Raw genomic sequence first — 19753 nt, 5'->3', positions numbered from 1 at the left:
CATGTAAATCTCCACATTTTAATACTACAATATCACTATTAAAGGAAACCAGCACAGCTGGCTTTTGCTATTAGTGAACTATCATTACTCCTGCTTAATTTGGGTTTTACAAGTTATTTTCTTTATAGATCAGTAAGCAATAAACTAAAGTAGGTGTTATAGTCTGTTTATAATCTCTTTCATATCCAGAAAGCATGAGTCTCTCAGTTCATTTTTATGCAGGAATTCTAAGTCATCATTTCTTTGTGCCTCTTGAGAAATACACGACAGAATACAGAATAATAAATCACATTTTACTACTTATAGAGTGGCAAAAGCCACAAGGCTATATGTAATTCTCTATTATTTCTGCCTTCTATAAGTGATATTTACCAACAGGCCCTTAACTCTGACATTTAATCTCCTTAAATTCTGATCAAGTTATTAACATTAACTATATTTAACTGAATAACAGTCATTCTTCCTTATTCTATTGAGAGAAAACCTTAATACAAACTGTATATGCATATTACAAAATATTCATGCCCGAATGCCCTCAGCTTCTATATTCAAACTCAAAGCACTTAAAACATAGGCTATGCTGTATGGAGGCAATTAAATATTGGCCATATGAATCCTAACAGTATTTATTCCCTTTCCTCCTTTGTATTAATGAACGTACTGGGTCTTACGAACTCAACCTCCTTCTACTTTTGAAGCACATGTTTCTTAACTTTACAGCATCATTTCTGCCAGTTTTCTTGATTCCTATGATCAAATATTTGATGACCTTTGTCCTGTTAAGGTCATGAGCTACCACCATGAATATTAGCAAATCATGCTGTTAGTGCGTCTATAATGTATTATTTGTAAGAGATTGTTTTAGCATAAAAAATTCACAACCAGAAATTATACACAATTTAATTAGAAACTATCATGATACACTTGTGGTAGGTAAAATTAATCTGTAATGCATTAATAAGGCTTTGGTGAAAAAAGTAAAACATAACTAATTACTACTTTTTCCTGCTTATTGGAAATCAGACAGTGTAAACAAAAACAAATTAGTTTTAATATTTCTGAAGGTGTCTTCATTTTTAGATAGAGTATAGACTATACACACACATGTACAGTGGTAGGCTGGTAACAATCAGCTTTCCAGGAAGTAACGCCCTGGTTTTAAGTATTTGCCAATTTCTGTTATATAAACACTCTTACCTTGGTTGATTTCAACCTATGAATATCAGGACAACTCCTTGAAAAATGCCTAAAAATTGAGAGCTGCGGTGGCTCCTGCCAGTTGTCCTTGCGCATAAGGAGGCAAGGCTATGCGTTCGAGGCCAACCTGGGCAAAACTGAAAAAAAAAAGAAAAAAAAGAAAAAAAAGAAATAAAAGAAAAATGCCTAAAAATGTAACAGTTGGCTCTTGTGGGCCAATAAAAGCTGGCTCTGGCATCTCATTGCATGTATATTTGAAATAGACATATACACATACACCAGTGTAAGCTGAGTACCCTTATCTGAAATGCTTGGGACCAGAAGTCTTTCAAATTTCAGATTTTTTCAGGTTTTCAAATATTTGCATATGCTTAATGAGATATCTTGGGGATGGGACACAAGTCTAAACATGAAATTCATTTATGTTTCACATACACCTCATACACACAGGCTGAAGGTAATTTTAAATACGACTTTTAATAATTTTGTGCATGAAATGAAGGTTGTGCATACTGAGCCATCGGAAATCCAATGTGCCATGTGTAGAATTCTCTACTTATGGTGTCATGCGAGTACTCAAACTGTTTCCAGTTTTGGAGCATTTTGGATCTCCGATTTTCAGTTGAGGGATGCTCAACTTGAATATATACAAATATGTTGATATATATTAAATACATAAAAGGAAACTTAAATATAGCTCTTAACAAACACATTGATTTCTTTAAAGTTTATGGCAGCTCTTTCTAAAGGTCAGAATTTCACTTTACAGCTTCTATCTTTCTAACCATATATCTTACTATAATTTCCTCTCAGGTCCTTCACAGAGTAGCATCAATGGTTTTGAAATGCATCAGCATTTAAGCATATAATGAGCTATGGCCATATGTTTGGCGTCTAAAATAAAGCAGGCCAGATTTAAGAACTCAGAGAGTAGACCTCTAAGAAATTTCATAATCTGATTTTCTTATCATCCTTTATGAAGTTCTTATAAAAAAAGTGTTGGTGAATGAAGACTGGGCTTACTATATAGGGATTCACATATTCTATTCTAAATACGGTAAGCCCTCTATCCATGGGTTCCACATCCTGGATTCAACAAATGGAGGGGTGAAAACCTTTGGAAAAAAAAATAAAATTAAAAGATAATACAATCATAAAAAATAATACAATTTTAAAATATAATATAACAACTATTTATATAGCATTTACACTGTATTAGGTATTATAAGTAATGTAGAGATGATTTAAAGTATACAGGATAGCCAGGTGTGGTGGCTCATACCTATAATCTCAGCACTTTGGAAGGCCAAAGAGGGAAGATCATTGGAGTTCAACCCTGGGCAACATAATGAGACCTTGTTTCTACCGAAAAATTAAAAAGTTAGCCAGCTGTGGTAGTGTGTGCCTGTTGTCCTAGCAAAGTGGGAGGCTGAGGTGGGAGGATCACTGGAGCCCAGGAATTAGAGGCTGCAGGGAGCTATGATTGTGCTACTGCACTCCAGCCTGGGCAAAAGAGCAAGAATCTGTCTCAAAAAATAATAATAAATTCATAAATAAAGTATATGGGAGAATGTACATAGGTTATATGCAAATACTATGCCATTTTATATATGAGACTAGAGCATCTGTGCATTTTGGTAGCCACAGGGGGTCCTGGGACCAATTCCCTATGGATACCGAGGGATATCTGTACTTTGTTTTCAGTGTACCATTAAACTCACATAGTTCATTTTTCTACTTTTATTTACCACAGCTATTTTCTGCAGTGGTGCATAATCCCTAAGGAGAAAGGATGCCTGAGGGAATCTGAGAATTTCATTCATCCATCTACTCCATCTGAAGTTAGAAAGCCCAGACCCTTGAAAAACTACCAAGGGCCCCAGTAGCAGAAGAGCAATGAGCTAGCATCAAGCAGGGATAGGCCAGGAGCTACAGACACAGCACAACTCCATCCACAGATACCGTCACGTAAACAGGCCCCTGGAGGTGTGCAACAAGTGACTCTGAGTGGTCTGAGCTGCTGGTGTGAGAGTAAACTGGCACAACTAACAGAGAGAAATATGTGGCAATGTCAACCAAAATGCTCAGTGCCTGTAACTTTTTCCTCAGCAATTATACTTCCAGGAATTTCTTTTAGAGATACATTCCCACTTTCATGAAAATATGCACGTGTAAGGACATTAACTATAGTGTGGTTTGTAATAAAGACAAAACACCCTACATATGCAGGCCACTAGCTATCAGATAGGAATAATACAGAGTGGTCGCAGGAGAACAGAAAACTCCAGGCAGTGGCGGGGCGTGGTGGCTCATGCCTGTAATCCCAGCACTTTGGGAGGCCAAGGCCAGTGGATCACCTGAAGTCAGGAGTTCGAGATCAGCCTGCCCAACATGGTGAAATCCTGTCTCTACTAAAAATGCAAAAATTACCCGGGAGTGGAGGCACACGCCTGTAATCCCAGCTACTTAGGAGGCTGAAGGAGGAGAATCACTTGAACCCACGAGGCAGAGGTTGCAGTCAGCCAAGGTCATGCCACTGCACTCTAGCCTGGGTGACAAGAGCGAAATTCCATCTCAGAAAAAAACAAAAAAAACAAAAAAACAAAAAACAAACAACAACAACAACAACAAAAAACTCCAAGCAGCAATTTCACATGACTAGCAAAAGGAAACAGATAAAATAGCTACAGAGGCTATGAGCTAATAAGACCCTGAAAACCCACGGTGTGGGCCAAGCTGGCTAAGACCAACTGGCTCCAACATGGTGTTGAATTTGACCTAGGTTTCCCCTAAGACTTCATTATGTGCCCATTAACATACTAATCACACACCCACCAGTGCCATGACAGTTCCCAGAACACCCATATTTGTTGTAAAAATTAGTAGCATCACAGTTCTGGGAAATCTCCACCCTTTTTCTGGAATTTTCACGAATATTGCACTCCTTTGTTAAAAAAACCCATAAAGCTAGCAAACCCAGACTCCATTTGTATGACTCTCTCTTGAGTATGCCTCCACTCCCTTTTCTTAAGTGTCCTTTTCCCTTGGCAATAAATCTCTCTACTCTCACTATTTTCTGACTGACTCATCCCTGAACTCCTTCTTGCAATGGCATCAAGAGCCTGGACATCAGCTGGGGTCCAGGTCCCAGCAGTGTTTGGGAACCTCCCCCAGTCCACTGGTAGCAGCTAAATCAAGTATGATATATTTGTACAGTGGAATAAAATGCAACTTGGGGGTGTGGGGGGAAACTGAGGCAAGTCCTTATACACTGAAATGGAATACATTTCCAGATAAATTAAGTAGAAAAACATCTGCTTTACAATGTGTAGGGTATGATACCATTTAGGTTAACATATGAAATATAAATATTTCTATAAACTATCACTGGAAGAATTACAATTGCCTATAAGAATAGCCTCTAAAGAGGCCTATCCGTTTTTATCACTTGAGTATTTCTGTGTTACCAATTCATAAATAAATTTTTGAAAATGAGACATGTGGAAGGATTTGTCACAATGTGTCAATTGTGCAAGTTTTAATGGACTGTAGGCCTTCATCACATTTAATTTCGCAAGAAAACTTAAGTGTAACTTGGCGTGAAAGGATCCACACTTTCACCCATTTTTAAAATTGCTCTCTCCAGCTCACTTTTTTTTTCGGGAACCCTTCCTTCTTTCCTCTGCTGAGGGGACATCTGAAGCCATTATTTCCAAAATAATTGTCACTACAACCCCCTGACATCTGGACCTGAGAAAGGTAAAAGTTACTTTTGGCTTGAGGAATGTTGTATAAGCCAAGAAAATGTTTCAAGGAGAGTGGGAAGGACTAGGAATTTGTCCAAAAGTGTGAAAAGCTAAGGGTTGAGGGGCTATTTCCTGTATACTCATCAATATGTCATAGTCTTGTAGTCAGAATTTATGTATCTTGACTCCAACATCAGCACTCTCATAAATGACTTCACATTAACAAAATATATAATATATGCAAGTGTGTGTGTGTGTGTGTGTGTGTGTGTGTGTGTGTGTGTGTAGAGGGAGAGATAGGAGATAAATGTGAATAATGCCAGAAAGTCTAAAGTTACCTCATCTTTATTTATCTGTTTATTCCCAACGACATTTGCCTATCCTTAACATTTTTCACTATATACCAGGTTGACACCTCAAAAGTGAAGAGACAGTTAAATCCACCAGTTAAGAAGCTTATCTGTTTGTCCAACCCTGGGCAAAATACATGTGAAACAAATGAAACTGCATAAACCCATCCCTGGGGGAGCTTAAAATCTTCAAACAGCAACCACACTTCTCAGGGAATTCTGGAGTGCTGGATTTACACTCAATTTCCCTAGGAATAGACACTGTTTTCTCTTTTATTCCATGCAAAGAAATTACAAAATATATTTATCTAAAAGTGGCACTTATATACTGGATTCTTCTTATGCCTTCGAATGTTAAAAAGCAGTATTTATGCTGCATGTAAACCCAGCTGTTTCAAGTAAATGCAGTACTACAGGAAAATGTGCTATTCCTGAGAGCTGAACTTCTTGTCAAACCACAGTGAATGCTCCTAGTTCCAGAGATTCATCATTAAGAAGAATCATTCCTGGAAAGATGGAAAGTCTTAGAAAACCCTAAAAACAGGTACTTACTGAATTTGGAATAACTGATTTAAAAATCCCAATGTTTCCTACCATAAAAGACCAGTCTGCAATTGTTGACTTCTCTCTCCCTCTTAAAACCTGTGCCCCTCAAGCTCCCTTCTCCCTAACTGCCCATATCTCATAGAATTGGCTTTGTAGGAGAAACAAACCATGGTCAATAATCAATACAGGCTTCAGAAAGGAAAGCAAAGACATGGTAATATCTCTAGGTCCTTGGGTCTAGAGGAATAAGAAACTACTTTCCTTTTGGAAAAATTATCTGGTATTAGTGAAGGAATTTGCATATCAAGAGTTTTAGGAAAGGTGTCTGACCCTAAGCATGAAAAACATAATCATGTATTCCCACCCACCATAACATTTTATAATTCAGTATTAAACCAATACTGAACTACCAAAAAAGGAAGAAAATACAATCAAATTCTAATTTTTATCATGATGACTACTACATTGCTAGAGTTATTATTTTCCAAATGCTTTTTGATGCCCCTGTTTGCTAAGCACATTCCTGGTATGTTGGGTAATCTGATACCAGTTTGCATAATTTCTCCCAGTAGCACTATGAAAAATGGTACTAAGGACTCAAAAGCCAAAGTTTGGCCAAGTCTATAATAAAATAAATTGTAAATCTTGCCTTTGATTTTCCCATCTAGGATAATGCTTCGGCAGTGTGTCCTGTAATGTGATTTAAATACAACAATGTTCTAGGTACTGATCAATAATATTATAAATTGAGGACATGAGTAGTTTTTTAATCTGAACAATTAAAACAGACATTCACCTAAGAGGCGGTGATAACAAGTCCTAGGAGCGTCTGTTAGCCAAAGATATTTATTTCAAAGTTTCCTATTCTTAAATTCCTATGGAGTTTGACACTGAGATTCTTTTCCAAATTTTACAAATTTATATACTCTTTATAGAACTCAGTTGAAAGGCCAACTGAGTGAATTCTATTAACAAAATGAATGGTATTAATAAAATTATTTTTACGTGATGGCCAAATTTTAAACTAAAAACACTGAACCCTTAGCTAATTCTCAAATTAGTAATACATTGGCATAGATTGTTTCTCTTCAATAAAAAGCCCTTTACAAGTTAATATTTACTAAAATGAAGGCTCTTCTGTAGAAACAAATAAGTGATCACTAAGTTATACTGCTTTTTGTTTTCTCGATATGAATTGGTCACTGAAAGAATACAGTAAAAAATCATTGCAAATGTTGTAATTTTCTTTCTTGTTCCTCATTTAACTCTGGTTTCATATTACAAAGTCTTTTATTTCATTGATGTTTGTACAATGCCTAGAACTAAGCCATATTAAGTAAGTAAATCTGGAACTTCAAAAATGTGTTTTAATTTCCATTTTATTCTCTTAGTGCTTTTGAGGTTATACAACATGAATAATGAGATATACAGTCATCATGACATCCAGTAACTGTGATGAAGCAATACCATTCTAATGATGCTACCACACAAGATATTGAAATTGACTATATTATTATTAAAAAAATCATTAAATGGGGAAACAATCAGCTTATCCATTTTATACTCCTATGTATACTCTGGAACCCAACTATCTGAAGGTTAGCATATTCACTTGCTAAGACTGTGGTTAAGATGAGATGGATGTCTCCTACCCTAGAAATAATTCAGTTCCCTATAATAACAAACTGACTGGAAAAAGAACTCACAGGAAAAATAAGACAAACAAGCAAACAAACAAAAGACTCATAAAGAATAAAGGAAGATACAGTCCCTTAAAAGATGAAAGATGATAAATAGAAATATCAGTATACAAAATAAAGCACAAAAACATTATTTACCCTATATGAGGATCATATTACTATACTCCTGAGAAAAAAATGAATGCCTATTACTAGGAAGCTTCTACATAAATCTGATTATATTCCCATTTAACTTTCTGCTTGTCTTTTTGTACCTTTAAGATAGCTCACAACTCTTAGGACTCACCCACTTCCACAGAACTCCATGTATCAGTCCCTAAAGTTCCATAGAGCTGCTCTAACATGAGGAAGCATGGCTTAATCGGATCCCTTTTGAACAGAACTCAACAGAATATCAGGCATGGGTTCGCCTTTAAGTGGTTCATGAGCACATATTATGAACATAGAAATCCAATGAGAAATTACAGTGGAAAGAAATGTAAAGAGAAGTGGAGCTTGTTTCTAAAGCAGCACGAAAAGTAATCAATAACCCTACCCTACCGTTAAAATGATTCTCTCTCTTCAGTCTTTGTACTCATTTGCATTCACCAGATACATACCATTATTTTCCAGCTTCAGAAGTTACCATGGAAGCTTTGTTGTTGTTTTTGTTATTGTTCATTTTTCGAGACAGTGTCTCACTCTGTCACCTAGGCTGGAGTGCACTGGTACAATCAAAGCTCCCTGAAGCCTCAAACTTCTGGGTTCAAGGGATCCTCCCAGCTAAGCCTCCCAAGTAGCTAGGACTACAGGCACATGGCATCACACCAGGCTAATTTTTTTTTATTTTTTATTTTTTCTGTAGAGATGGGGCCTCACTATGTTGCTTAAGCTGGTGTTGAACTCCTGGCTTCAAGCAATCCTCCTGCCTCAGCCTCCTAAAGTGCTAGGATTACAGGCATGAGCCATTGTACCCACCCCCATGGAGGTAATTTTTAACCAAGATTGTTTGTCTTCTGCCCCTCACATCCCACCATTCAGAGCTTAGTTACATGCCACAGAAACTAATTATGGCTAATTTACACAGGAAAGGATTTATTTACAGAAACTTGGGGGTGAAGAACTAGGATAGGAAGACAAGTAGGAACAAGTGAAGCATCAGCCAAGACCACAGCCAAGATCAAACCACCAAGGCCATCCATAAAGGGCACCATTGTAGCCAGTGAGCCCTTTATGGCACAGAGAGCCCTATTCCTGACCCTCAGCACTGGATACTTGAGGACAATGCTGAAACCTCCATGAGTGCCATTTGGCCACTGCTACCTGCAGAATGAGTTCTTCACTGTTGCTGCTTCTTTGTGTTACAAGTAGCCAAAGCAAAGACTGAGACTGGCATATATCATTGGTCTATTGTAGGTCATGTACCCACACCTTGGATGCAAAGGAGCTGGGGAAAGCAAGCATCTGGAATTTTCAGTTTCTGTAACTTTAGGGAAGCTCTGCCTCCCATGAAGACTCAAGAGGATGGGAATTTCTCAAACTGAAGAGGAGCATTCAGATGCAAACAGCCCGAGTAATGACAATGTAATACTACAAAGTTTTACCCATAATGACTAAAATGTCTATCAAACTAATAAGCTATCACTTGATCTTACTGGAAGTTTCTAGAAGTGTCTCAATACCGGAATAATTTTTTACTACTTCTTACCTTCTCTAACAACTGAGAGCTAAATGCTTCCTAATATTTGGAAAGAATTGCATTACAGGGTATGTAGCTCAATGATTTGAGAAATTTAATACTAGAAAAAGTTAATTTTCTCCTTTGAAAATGAAATCATATAATTCACCTAGATAGTAGTTTTGTATGTGGGCTTTAGAATCTGCCTGGCTTATCTGCTTTCCCACCTGTGTCCTTGGACAAGTGAATTGTCTCTGCCCCAGTTTCCTCTCTGCCTCAGTTTCCTCATCTGTAAAATGTGGTGATGATGCCTATGATGAAAAGATGATGTAAGGATTATGCGAGATACTACAAGAGTTTAAAACAATATGTGGGACCTAGAGAGAGCTCAATAAATGTTCTGTTTTATCAGAACATATATGCAGTGTTGCAACATGAAGCCTCTTTTTAACAATCTTACTGTAATTTCCATAGTTTACCTTGATTCTGTTTCATTTCATTAATGGGTGACCTTCAACTATATGGAAAGGCCAATCATCTGATACTTTTGCTATAACGAGAGAAAAGAGAAGAGACTATTTTATCCTTTAAGAAAGGTAAGTGTAGACCATTCCACTTATAGTGAAAGTAATGGTTTTATAACAATGATTTTTTTTTTAGACAGGATCTTGCTCTGTTGCCCAGGTTAAGTGCAGTGGTATGATCATAGCTTATTGCAGCCCCAGCCACCACCTGTGCTCAAACAGTCCTCCCCGTCAGCCTCCTGAGTAGCTGGGACTACAAGCATGTACCATCATGCCTGATAATTTTTTTTTTGGTAGAGAAAAGATCTCACTATGTTGCCCAGGTTGGTCTCGAACTCCTAGCCTTAAGCAATCCTCCCACCTCAGCCTCCCAGATCACCTGGACTAGAGGCCTAAGCCACCATGCCCAGCCCATTAACAATGCTTTTTTTTTCACAAAGTTACAGGCAAAAGGCAAGGAAGATATCTTTCTAAAGATTAGGTTGGACAAAATAATGTATAACATTAGCTGTACCTGCTCTCAGTATAAATTTTACCCTCTAGATTGCTAATTGACATGGTATAGAAACATCTCAACATCAGTCTCAATGTGAAATACCTTTGATGACACCTCATACTTTGTATTCTCCTACAGAGTAAGCTCCTTGAGGGCCAAGTTCATGTGCTCCATAAAAATCAATCTAAATGAAAAGCCGTAATATAAGGACTGGATGATAGCACATGCCTAGTAGTATACAGAGTATTTTTCATAACAGAGAACATACAGGACTTAGTCAACATCTACATAGAGGTTGTTTTCTAGGAATCAAATGAAAGCCTAGGTCATTGTCACCATTTGATTGTTCATTATATGTGTACTAAATTTCTTATCTGAGCCAGGCACTGAGGGCTATGCCAGGATAAATGAGACCTGATCCTGCCTTTCAGAGTTTACAGACTAAGGGAAGACTAATCAAATATACCAAATATTTATATTTCATATTTGTAATAACAAGTTAAAAAGTGATTACTGCTCCAAAATATTTAAGTAAAATATTTTAAGAGGTAAGAGGAGAGATAAATTATTCCTACTAAACGCATTTTAAGGAAAAAAAAAATGACGATCTCTCTTGTCCATAGGAAAGCAACTTTTAATCATACTGTCATTACTTTCTGTCTTATTTTTTTCCAAATGAAACAGAAAAATTTTCTTTAGAAATTAGGAAACATAATTGTTTTAGCAAATTAGGTTTCATGTATTAGATCTTTTTTTTTTTTTTTTTTTTGAGATGGAGTCTCACTCTGTCGCCCAGGCTGGAGTACAGTGGGGTAATCTCGGCTCACTACACTCTCTGCCTCCTGGGCTCAAGCTTAAAACTTACAACATCTCAAGCAATTCTCATTTCTTATACCTCAGCCTCCCTAGCAATTGCAATTGGGACTACAGGCGTGCACCACTGCACCCAGCTAATTTTTGTATTTTTAATATAGATGAGGTTTCTCCATGTTGGCCAGGCTGGTCTTGAACTCCTGGCCTCCAGTAATCCATCAACTTTGGCCTCCCAAAATGCTGAGATTACAGGCATGAGCCACAGGGCCCAGCTTATGTACTAGATCACAAGAAAATTTGTATTTACTATTTATTATGGTAATTAGTGAACTTATCCAAAAAAATATACTCCCCAGCCTCAAAAAATATATTCTTGGTATACAGGCTTATATTTTCCAGATTAGAAAATAGGTCCACTGTGCAAGCAATGGGGTCCCAAGGCTAAATGTTGAAGGTTTTTGGCACCATGATATACCTTTCATTCAAAGATCAGGCATACCATTTAGAAAAGAAACAGCACCTTCAGTATTCTATAAAGATCAGTATGTATGACATTGAAAGAAACACACAAGTTCAAAGCTTGAATTCCATGTAGGGGGAAAAAAACCCAAACACTTTTCACCTTGTTTTTAGAAAGAAATATTAGTTTGTACAGATCAATTTTAAGAAAAACAAAATCTGAAATGTGATAGAAAAAAGAGACAGTGTTAGATCAGTATGGTGACTATGGTTTATAATAATATATACTGCAAAATAGCTAGAAGAGAAGAATTTGAATGGTTCTAGTATAAAAAGAAGATAAATCTTTAAGGTGATGGAAATCTCAGGTACACTGATTTGATCTTTACAAGGTTTATGAATGTATTAAATTATCATGCGTACCCGAAAACTATGTGCAGCTATTATGCATCAATAAAAATAAATAAATAGAAGAAAAAAATCTGGGGTAATCATTACGTTTTCTTTCCACTAGTTCTGGAATTCACTCATTTCATCACCTCTTGCCTTCTGAAAGGACAGGTGTCTGCTGCTTCGTGCATTTGACTCATGCACTTCAGTTGGCTGCCCACTGCAGCACAGAACTGGCGAGGCACAGGCTCCTGTAAGAGCAGCGGATTGGAAACATCCTGGCTTCCCACCAGCTCCATAAATAAGGCTCCCTTGTGCCATGGTTTTAAATACCTTCATTTTAAAATTAGATTTGATTTTTTTTCTCAGAAACAGCTAAATCTCTGTTAAGCTACCAAAACATATTTTACAACTTAGATTAGTGTGGTCTGCCTTCCTGCTTTTTTTACAGCTGCTACTTTTAAGAGAGAACATTTTGCTTTCCAAATGAGAATAGAGGCTTTTATTTAAAGGATGAATTTTTCTGCTTGTTGTCATCTGGGCATCCTCACTCTCTCTATTTTTTTTTTATATAATTCCAGAACTTACTTAAAACATCTTCATATGCAAACTGAAACAGAATAAGAGTTTAAATGTTCACACTTTCAAATGTGCTAGAAAACATAAAAATTAAAAAATAAAGCAAGTCAGATCTTGAAGGGCACAAAAAAATGCCAACTTGTTTTCACCTTTTCTCCATCTGGAACCACTGGTTGCACCATCTACCTAAGAAAAGTTAGTAAAAGGGATTCATGAAACAATTGTTCTATTTAGTCACCTATGGCAAAAAATAGCCACACCATTAGTATCATCTTTGGTTATAAAAATATTTATATTTTGTACACAAGCATACACACTTTAATATGGTAGCTGTACTATCTATGGATCTTTCATTTTCATTTTTGTTTTTATAAGAGATAGAGTCTCAGTCTGTCACCCAGGCTGGAGTGCAGTGGTGTGATCATAGATCACAGTAACTTCAAACTCCTGGGCTCAAGTGATCCTCTTCTCAGCCTCTTCGGTAGCTGGGACTACAGGCACATGCCACCACACCTGACTAACTGTGATTTTGTTTTTTGTAGAGACAGGGTCTTACCATGTTGCCCAAGCCAGTCTCAAACTCCTGGCCTCAAGTGATCCTTCAACCTTGGCCTCCCAAATGCTTGAATTATAGGCGTGAGCCACCATGCCTAATATTTAAAATACACAGCACGATCATATACTAATTTTTGCTAAAGGAATGTTGGTATATGAAGTGGTAGAATGATCACCATTTAAACCCACATCTGTAGCAGGGATAATCATATGTGATAAATGTGATTATTTTCCTAACATTTCTCTAGAAATTTTATTCAAACTATGGGAAGTATATTAATTTTACATTAAATCTCTCCCTTGGTAGTTATATACCATTTCCTAAGGACAGATGCAAGTTCCATTTACTTGAACAAAGATCAATGAATGCAGTTTTGTAAAACCAGAGCTGACATTTCTCAGGAGGTTCATAGGGCATGATCTTCTATTGAAGAGAGGAATGTAGCCTCCATATTAACTATATAATTAGGGTTCATCCATTTATATCAAAGAACAATTAATACTGTATCAGAGCACTCGGTTTTTCTTCTCATCCCCCACCTCCCAGCCATGGTTACCTTCACCTGTCCTCCTTTAGGCTCCCAGCAGGTTTATCCCTCCACTCCCCACATCATACTGAAATTAATCACCTGTAAGTCAATCTTCAATGCTCTATGTGTACCTTAAGGGCAGGGAAAATGTGGATGCTATTCTTTTAGTCAAGTGATTAAAAATAAATTGTTTCTGACCTGCACTGATACAGGTAAGAGAGCCTAAGTAGGCAACAGCTTAAAATGGAATCCACAAAATTACAAGTGGTTTCTATGTACATTCCAGAAGCACAATTTATTATTCAAAGCCTCCATCATAAATAGATCATTCAAAAGGCAGTACAATTTGATTGCTTTATCCCTAGGCCTGACTTTTTAAACTAAATTTCCTCTATATCAACTTCTTTATCTCCCAGGAAATGTCACTGCCATTTAAAGTACTCTTTATGTTTAACTTCTCTAATCTTTTCAGGTATTTGAAAATTGCTGTCAGTGATAGCTAAAATATGCCATGTTTTGAAAAAACATTTTGATAGACATATACCTATATAAAACAGAGCTTCATTGGGAGAAATGTTATGCTTTAAAACAATATAAAGGCAACAAAATGCATGTTCCACACAATAAACTCTGGTGGTCTATACTTTTGCAAACTGATTTCCATTGGCTTAAGCCAATATAGCTTATCAGCTGCAATCTTTCAAAGAAAATATAAGGGTGTCTCTACATTACACAATTTAATTTTGATCTTACTGAAAGTTGTCTGGAAGGTATGCCTGGTAAGAAAACAAAACAAAAGCAAAGTTTAAAAAATTCCTTTATATTTCCAACCAAGGAGTATTTAATTATTTATTGAGTACCTACTGTGTTCAAGCACTGTGCTCCAGGGAATAAAAATATGTGTTAGAATGACCTCTGACATCTTAGAGGCAATTTGAGAAACAAAAACTAAGTCCCTCATTTTAAATGATACAAGAAAATATAAGAGTAGAAGTGGATTAGTTACCTAATAAAGAGACAAACACTATACAAGCTTGGCAAAGGTGAAAACAGGAACCAAGAGGCTTAGGGCAAATGAATTTAAAAGGGATTTTGAAGGGAGTTTGAAGAGAACTTTCAACAGGGTTGGATTTTACTTGGTGGATAAAAGCAGGGAAGACATCAGCATTGTCACGAGTGTGCACAAATCAAATTAGTCAGGAAGAAAAGTAAGTGTATTGGAAAAATCTTTTATCAGATGGAAATTTCTAGAAGGCAAATGCCTAGAAGTAAGTTAGAAAAATAGTTTGAGTTATTGAATGTCAAACCATGTTTGAAATGTATTCTCAAACCCCTGGGGGGAAAAAAAAGGGAACTGCTGATAGTTGAAGTCTTAAATTTTAAGACAGTGGTTCTCAAAGTGTGGTCCAGAGAACACCAGCACCTGCATTTCCTGGGAGCTTGTTAGAAACACAATTTGGGCTCCATCTCAGATCTACTGAATCAAAAACTCTCAGGGTGGGGCCCACCTGTTTAGGTTTGAATAAGACTTTTGGATGATTCTGGTGCACATTCAAGTTTGAGAACCACTGGTTTCAACAAATCGAAATAATCAAAGCAACTTATCAAACAGATCATTCTCCTGATGGTAAAAACAACAAACAGAAACCTGTGAAAAATGAGATGAGAGAGATGTTTCAGTGCCATTTCCAACTAGAAGACCAAAAAAAGAAAGTAAATGTTTTTAAAGATTTGCTGTTTGACATTTAACAGCATTTCAAGATCACCTTTTAAAGTTCTATTAGAGCTTCTCTCTTCAGAGCTCATCATAAAAAGAAATTAAAATGACTAAGTCTAGAGTGGGGATTACAGCCTCCTACATTTTCTCCCTGTTGCTGAACAAGGAATAGGAAGATTTCTTATCACCACATGTCATGAAGGAATGGGGAAAAGGAGAACTAACATTTATTTTGAGACTTCTCTCTGTATAGATAGGAAACCAGAGTTGAAAAGGTAAGAAAACTTTAACCAATTTGCAAGCATGAGACAAGGAATTAAGTCCTTTTGCTTCTATATAGTAGTATCTGCAAGGAATCCCAAAGATTCCTATGTAAATAAAAAGTTCATATTATTTCCAATTTACTTGATGCTCAAGAGATTCTTTGAAAGTTTTCATATTGTTTATGTAATGGGTATAATGTTTTACAAATACTTTAAAAACAGATTCCATTCTGTTTGCTCCTTAAATCATTTATTTCCTTATAGGTTTCCACCTCTAAGGGCATGAGGGTCTGTTACATCATCTCTTTAGTAGGCAGAAGTCTCTAAATGTGGCAGAAGGGCTTGAATTCCAGTCAGAAAGAGAAAGAGATAGCAAACCCATCCCTGCCCAAGGGGTCTGTGCAAAGGAAGGAGGTGGAAGAATGGTAATGGTTTGCCAAGTCACCCAGTGATACGGCTTGGCTATGTCCCCACCCAAATCTCATCTTGAATTGTAGCTCCCATCATTCCCTCAGGTTGTAGAGGGACCCAGTGGGAGATAACTGAATCATGGGGATGGTTTCCTCCATACTGTTTTGTGGTAGTGAATAAGTCTCACGAGATCTGATGGTTTTATAAGAGCAAACCCCTTTCGCTTGGCTCTCATTCTCTTCTCTTGACTGCTGCCATGTGAGACGTGTCTTTCACCCTCCACCATGATTGTGAGGCCTCCCCAGCCATGTGGAACTGTGAGTTCATTAAACCTCTTTCTTTTGTAAATTGCCCAGTCTTGGATATGTCTTTATCAGCAGTGTGAAAACAAACTAATACACCCAGTTTCTCTCTGAGCTTTGCCTCAATGCTGGGAAGCCAAAGGGAAGCAGGATGTGGGGCCCAAATTCTGCCTAGGATTCTGTGAAGAGATTGCCTGGTGGGCTACCTGGACCAACTTTAGGGTCAACTTTGGGGCACAGAGTACTCAGAGGGAGAGCTACACCCCTCACCTGGGTAGCACTGGTCTGGCTCAGCAATCCCTAGAGCCCTCCTGGGAAGAACTCAGAAAGCAGCGGAGTTGCAAACCAGAGGCTTGTCATGGTCCCCCCATGCCAAGTGATCAAGGCTGGAGGTGGGCCAGAGGCCAGTTGAGTGACAAACCAGTGACTCAGGAGGTCTTCATGCCCAGAAAGGCCAATGTGAGGGTGAATACCAAAGGAAGGGGACTAGTTACCCGGTCCTTCCCAACTTGAATAAGAGCAGATCACAAAGTATACCACCCCCAGATATGCAGGCCAGCAGGGCCCTGGAAATGGGCAGAGCCCTAGGACCCTCAGTTTTCTTTCGTGAGAAAGAGTCACTCCTTTATCACTCCGCAATCTAAGAGATTTATTTCCTCCTCTACTCTGTGTTAATTGACAAGCATGTGTACAGCCTTTCGTACTTGTCAGATACTATTCTAAGAGCTTTAGAAGTGTTCATTCGTGTAGCACAATCCCAGTGATGAGAGATAGGAATTGCTATTACCCCTGTTTACAGATGGAAAAATCAAGGCACAGAGAGGTTCAGAAAAGGCTAAGTAGAGGAGCCAGGAGTCAAAGCCACTGCACCACAGCAAGTATCCCACTTGATTGACTGTCAGCTAGAAAGGCAAAACTGATCAGACTACATTTTCAACTAGATCAGACTAAAATGTTTTCTCCTGTTACCCATCAAGTGGGAGCTCCTGCGGAAAACTACACAGGTTATATGAGCAAGAAGAGAAGGAGAAGGAGAAACCAAGAGGTGGAGGAAAAAGGAACTATATGCCTTTTACATCAGAGTTGCAACATATGTATATTTTCAATTCAAAAATGGTGGCAGCTCACAACTTCCCAAAGGTCCTTCCAAAAGCTTGTAAAATGAGCCATTTCCTGGAGTGAGGAATGATGACTCACCCGCATGGCTGTTTTTCTCTTACCTCTGCTAGTTACCACTGGAAAGTGGAAATATGAGGCGCTGCTTGGACCAAAGTGAAATCAAAAGACATACTATTTCTCTAGTTTTTAAAATGGAAAAACCTCCAATTTGACAAGGGCTCTTCAGTTATGTTTAACATTTTTTTCCCAAAAGTCCACAAGACTGAAATGCCAACCTCTTTCAACAGACCAAACCTTTTAAAGGCCTTCATGTTCCCTATGCAGGAAGCCCATAGCTGCCTATAAGGCAAACATTTCACAACCCTTACCAACAGAGGACGAAACTAAACACTCAGAACAACAGAAAGGGAAGCCAAAGGCAGAAAGGATACAATTCTAAATGTTAAATGTGTTATTTTCAGAAATACACAGCAATTTTTAGGATTAAAATCAATCAATTTAAAGTATAAGGAGTTTCAGAGGTTTCACAGGGTTCCATTAATTATTTTCCCTGATGCGATATTACCAAATGGGGGCCCCTATTAATGGTGAAAATACGTCCTCAGTGATCTCAGTTCCTGATGGGTGGTAATATAGGACAGACAGCTCAGTAAGGTGGTAGGTTTATGGCACTGATAATACTTTCTATTTATCTGAAATTTGTTTCAGTTTTTCAAATCTAACATGCCAGTGAATAGGTCCTAGGATATGGTGTTGGTACAATGTCTGTAAACAATGATTCTTTCAGGGAGGGGAAAAAAGAACAGTGCTTTCAATGTTCAGTATCCTTTACATCTGCTGCTCAGCTGGAAACACTGTTAAAAGGCCATTAGAACCTTAAGGTAACAGGCCTCGAATGCTATGAAAGCCATGGAGCAATTTGCTGTTTGTGTTAGGCGTATCAGCTCCAGCCACTTCCTTTTCATGGGCTGAAAACAGCTTCTGTCATGAGCCGTGAAAATCAATTCCACAGTAACCAGGCTGAAATGCGGTTGAAGGTGGTGCACCTACAGGCTGGCGCTGTGCAGCAGAGCCTCCTTCTGGGCATCCGTGGCACCTTCCAGAAGTTTCAGGCAGCGGCTCCCAGCAGTGCCCGGGAGGTAATGAGCAGCTCAGTACTTCCAGGAACCTTCAGGCTTATGGCTTAGGACACTGGTCCTCTCTTATACTTAATTAGGTTAAAATAGAAATTGTCACCCTGAATGAAGATAGCTGTAGGAAGTGTCGTACTGGGAAAAAGCCTGCTCTTGCTTATTTGTATTCCATTTTTCCTGATTATAGTAATTGTGACAGAGGCTCACTTAAAAAAGAAAAAAAAAAAAAACACTTTTTGTGGGCCTTTTAAAGTACAGAACATTTTTAGACTTTTTTTTTTTCAAACATAAGATCATACTTTTGAAAATATATCCTTTAGGGGACTAAGCAGTTTTGTCAAGACTGTGCTTTTTAAAATCATGGCTAGAAAGGTTAAAACTCATTTTTAAATATGCTACAGGTTTTTCTGTTCTAGGAAATTGTTATTCCAGTTGTAAAAATCAACCTTGGTTATCACATAGAATTAAGCTCATTCTAACCTATATTTCTATATATAGTCAACCCTTTGTTATACTGGAAACCTTTGTATACACTGCTAAGCATGTTCTGAGTAAGAATAAATTGGCACTCCTAAATCACAGCAACCAGCTTATGTGTATACATATAACTTCTTGTAATATTATCTCATCATCAATAGCCCAGGCCGAGTAACTGATTCAGTTAATTAGTTAAATTTTGTGTTAACAACAAAATGGAAAAAATATAATTTCATGTTTTTTGGTCTGAATATCTGATGCACCTAACTTGTTTTAACTGAAATTTAAGTGTGATTACTCCATACATATTTTGTTGACTAAAACAGAAAAATATACAATTTTTATGTCTTTTGCACAAAATACATAATGAAGATCTCTTAGTGATTCTAAGACATTTCCAAGTTATATTTTAAAGAGGGGAAGGTGGTAATTGAAAATAGATTATTCATAATAGGTGTGTTGTTGATGACATATGATTTGCCATTTGTAAGGTATTTTATATTCAATTGAAACTGACCTTTTATGAGGGCCATGTGGTAATATAAGTGAAATGAATATATTCTTTATTGCGGTCATATAAAAAGATTGGCCTAAGCTTTTAACATAATGCTTGACCTGATATCTAATATCCCCAAGTCTGTGAAAGAATATTGAATAAGATACCATATCATGAAATGAGTAGTAAAAGCATAATAAAATCCTTTCACACATTAGCACTTGATAATGTAAAAGTAACAGTAAACTAAGATTCTCAAGTTCAAGGCAAATATAGTTGGAGGAGAAGCTAAT

The 19753-nt window shown here is 37.4% G+C and overlaps 1 protein-coding gene across 2 annotated transcripts in view, besides 2 other annotated features; it reads right to left on the bottom strand.

Moving 5' to 3' along the window:
• GPC6 (glypican 6) overlaps positions 1 to 19753 on the bottom strand; it is a 1191492-nt gene that overhangs the window by 1140866 nt on the left and 30873 nt on the right. The gene's annotated exons all lie outside the window — the stretch shown is intronic.
• Positions 17930 to 18429: an enhancer, noted in NCBI's record as "OCT4-NANOG-H3K4me1 hESC enhancer chr13:93900979-93901478 (GRCh37/hg19 assembly coordinates)". NCBI's record gives its function as "activates a minimal SCP1, AML or CMV promoter by ChIP-STARR-seq in naive H9 embryonic stem cells {active_cell/tissue: H9 hESC(naive)}" and the evidence as "EXISTENCE:reporter gene assay evidence [ECO:0000049][PMID:30033119]".
• Positions 18430 to 18931: an enhancer, noted in NCBI's record as "OCT4-NANOG-H3K4me1 hESC enhancer chr13:93900477-93900978 (GRCh37/hg19 assembly coordinates)". NCBI's record gives its function as "activates a minimal SCP1, AML or CMV promoter by ChIP-STARR-seq in naive H9 embryonic stem cells {active_cell/tissue: H9 hESC(naive)}" and the evidence as "EXISTENCE:reporter gene assay evidence [ECO:0000049][PMID:30033119]".

This window comes from Homo sapiens, chromosome 13 (genome assembly GCF_000001405.40).
Source record: "Homo sapiens chromosome 13, GRCh38.p14 Primary Assembly".
Taxonomy (NCBI): Eukaryota; Metazoa; Chordata; class Mammalia; order Primates; family Hominidae; genus Homo; species Homo sapiens.
This window is presented reverse-complemented; position numbering and strand designations above follow the sequence as displayed.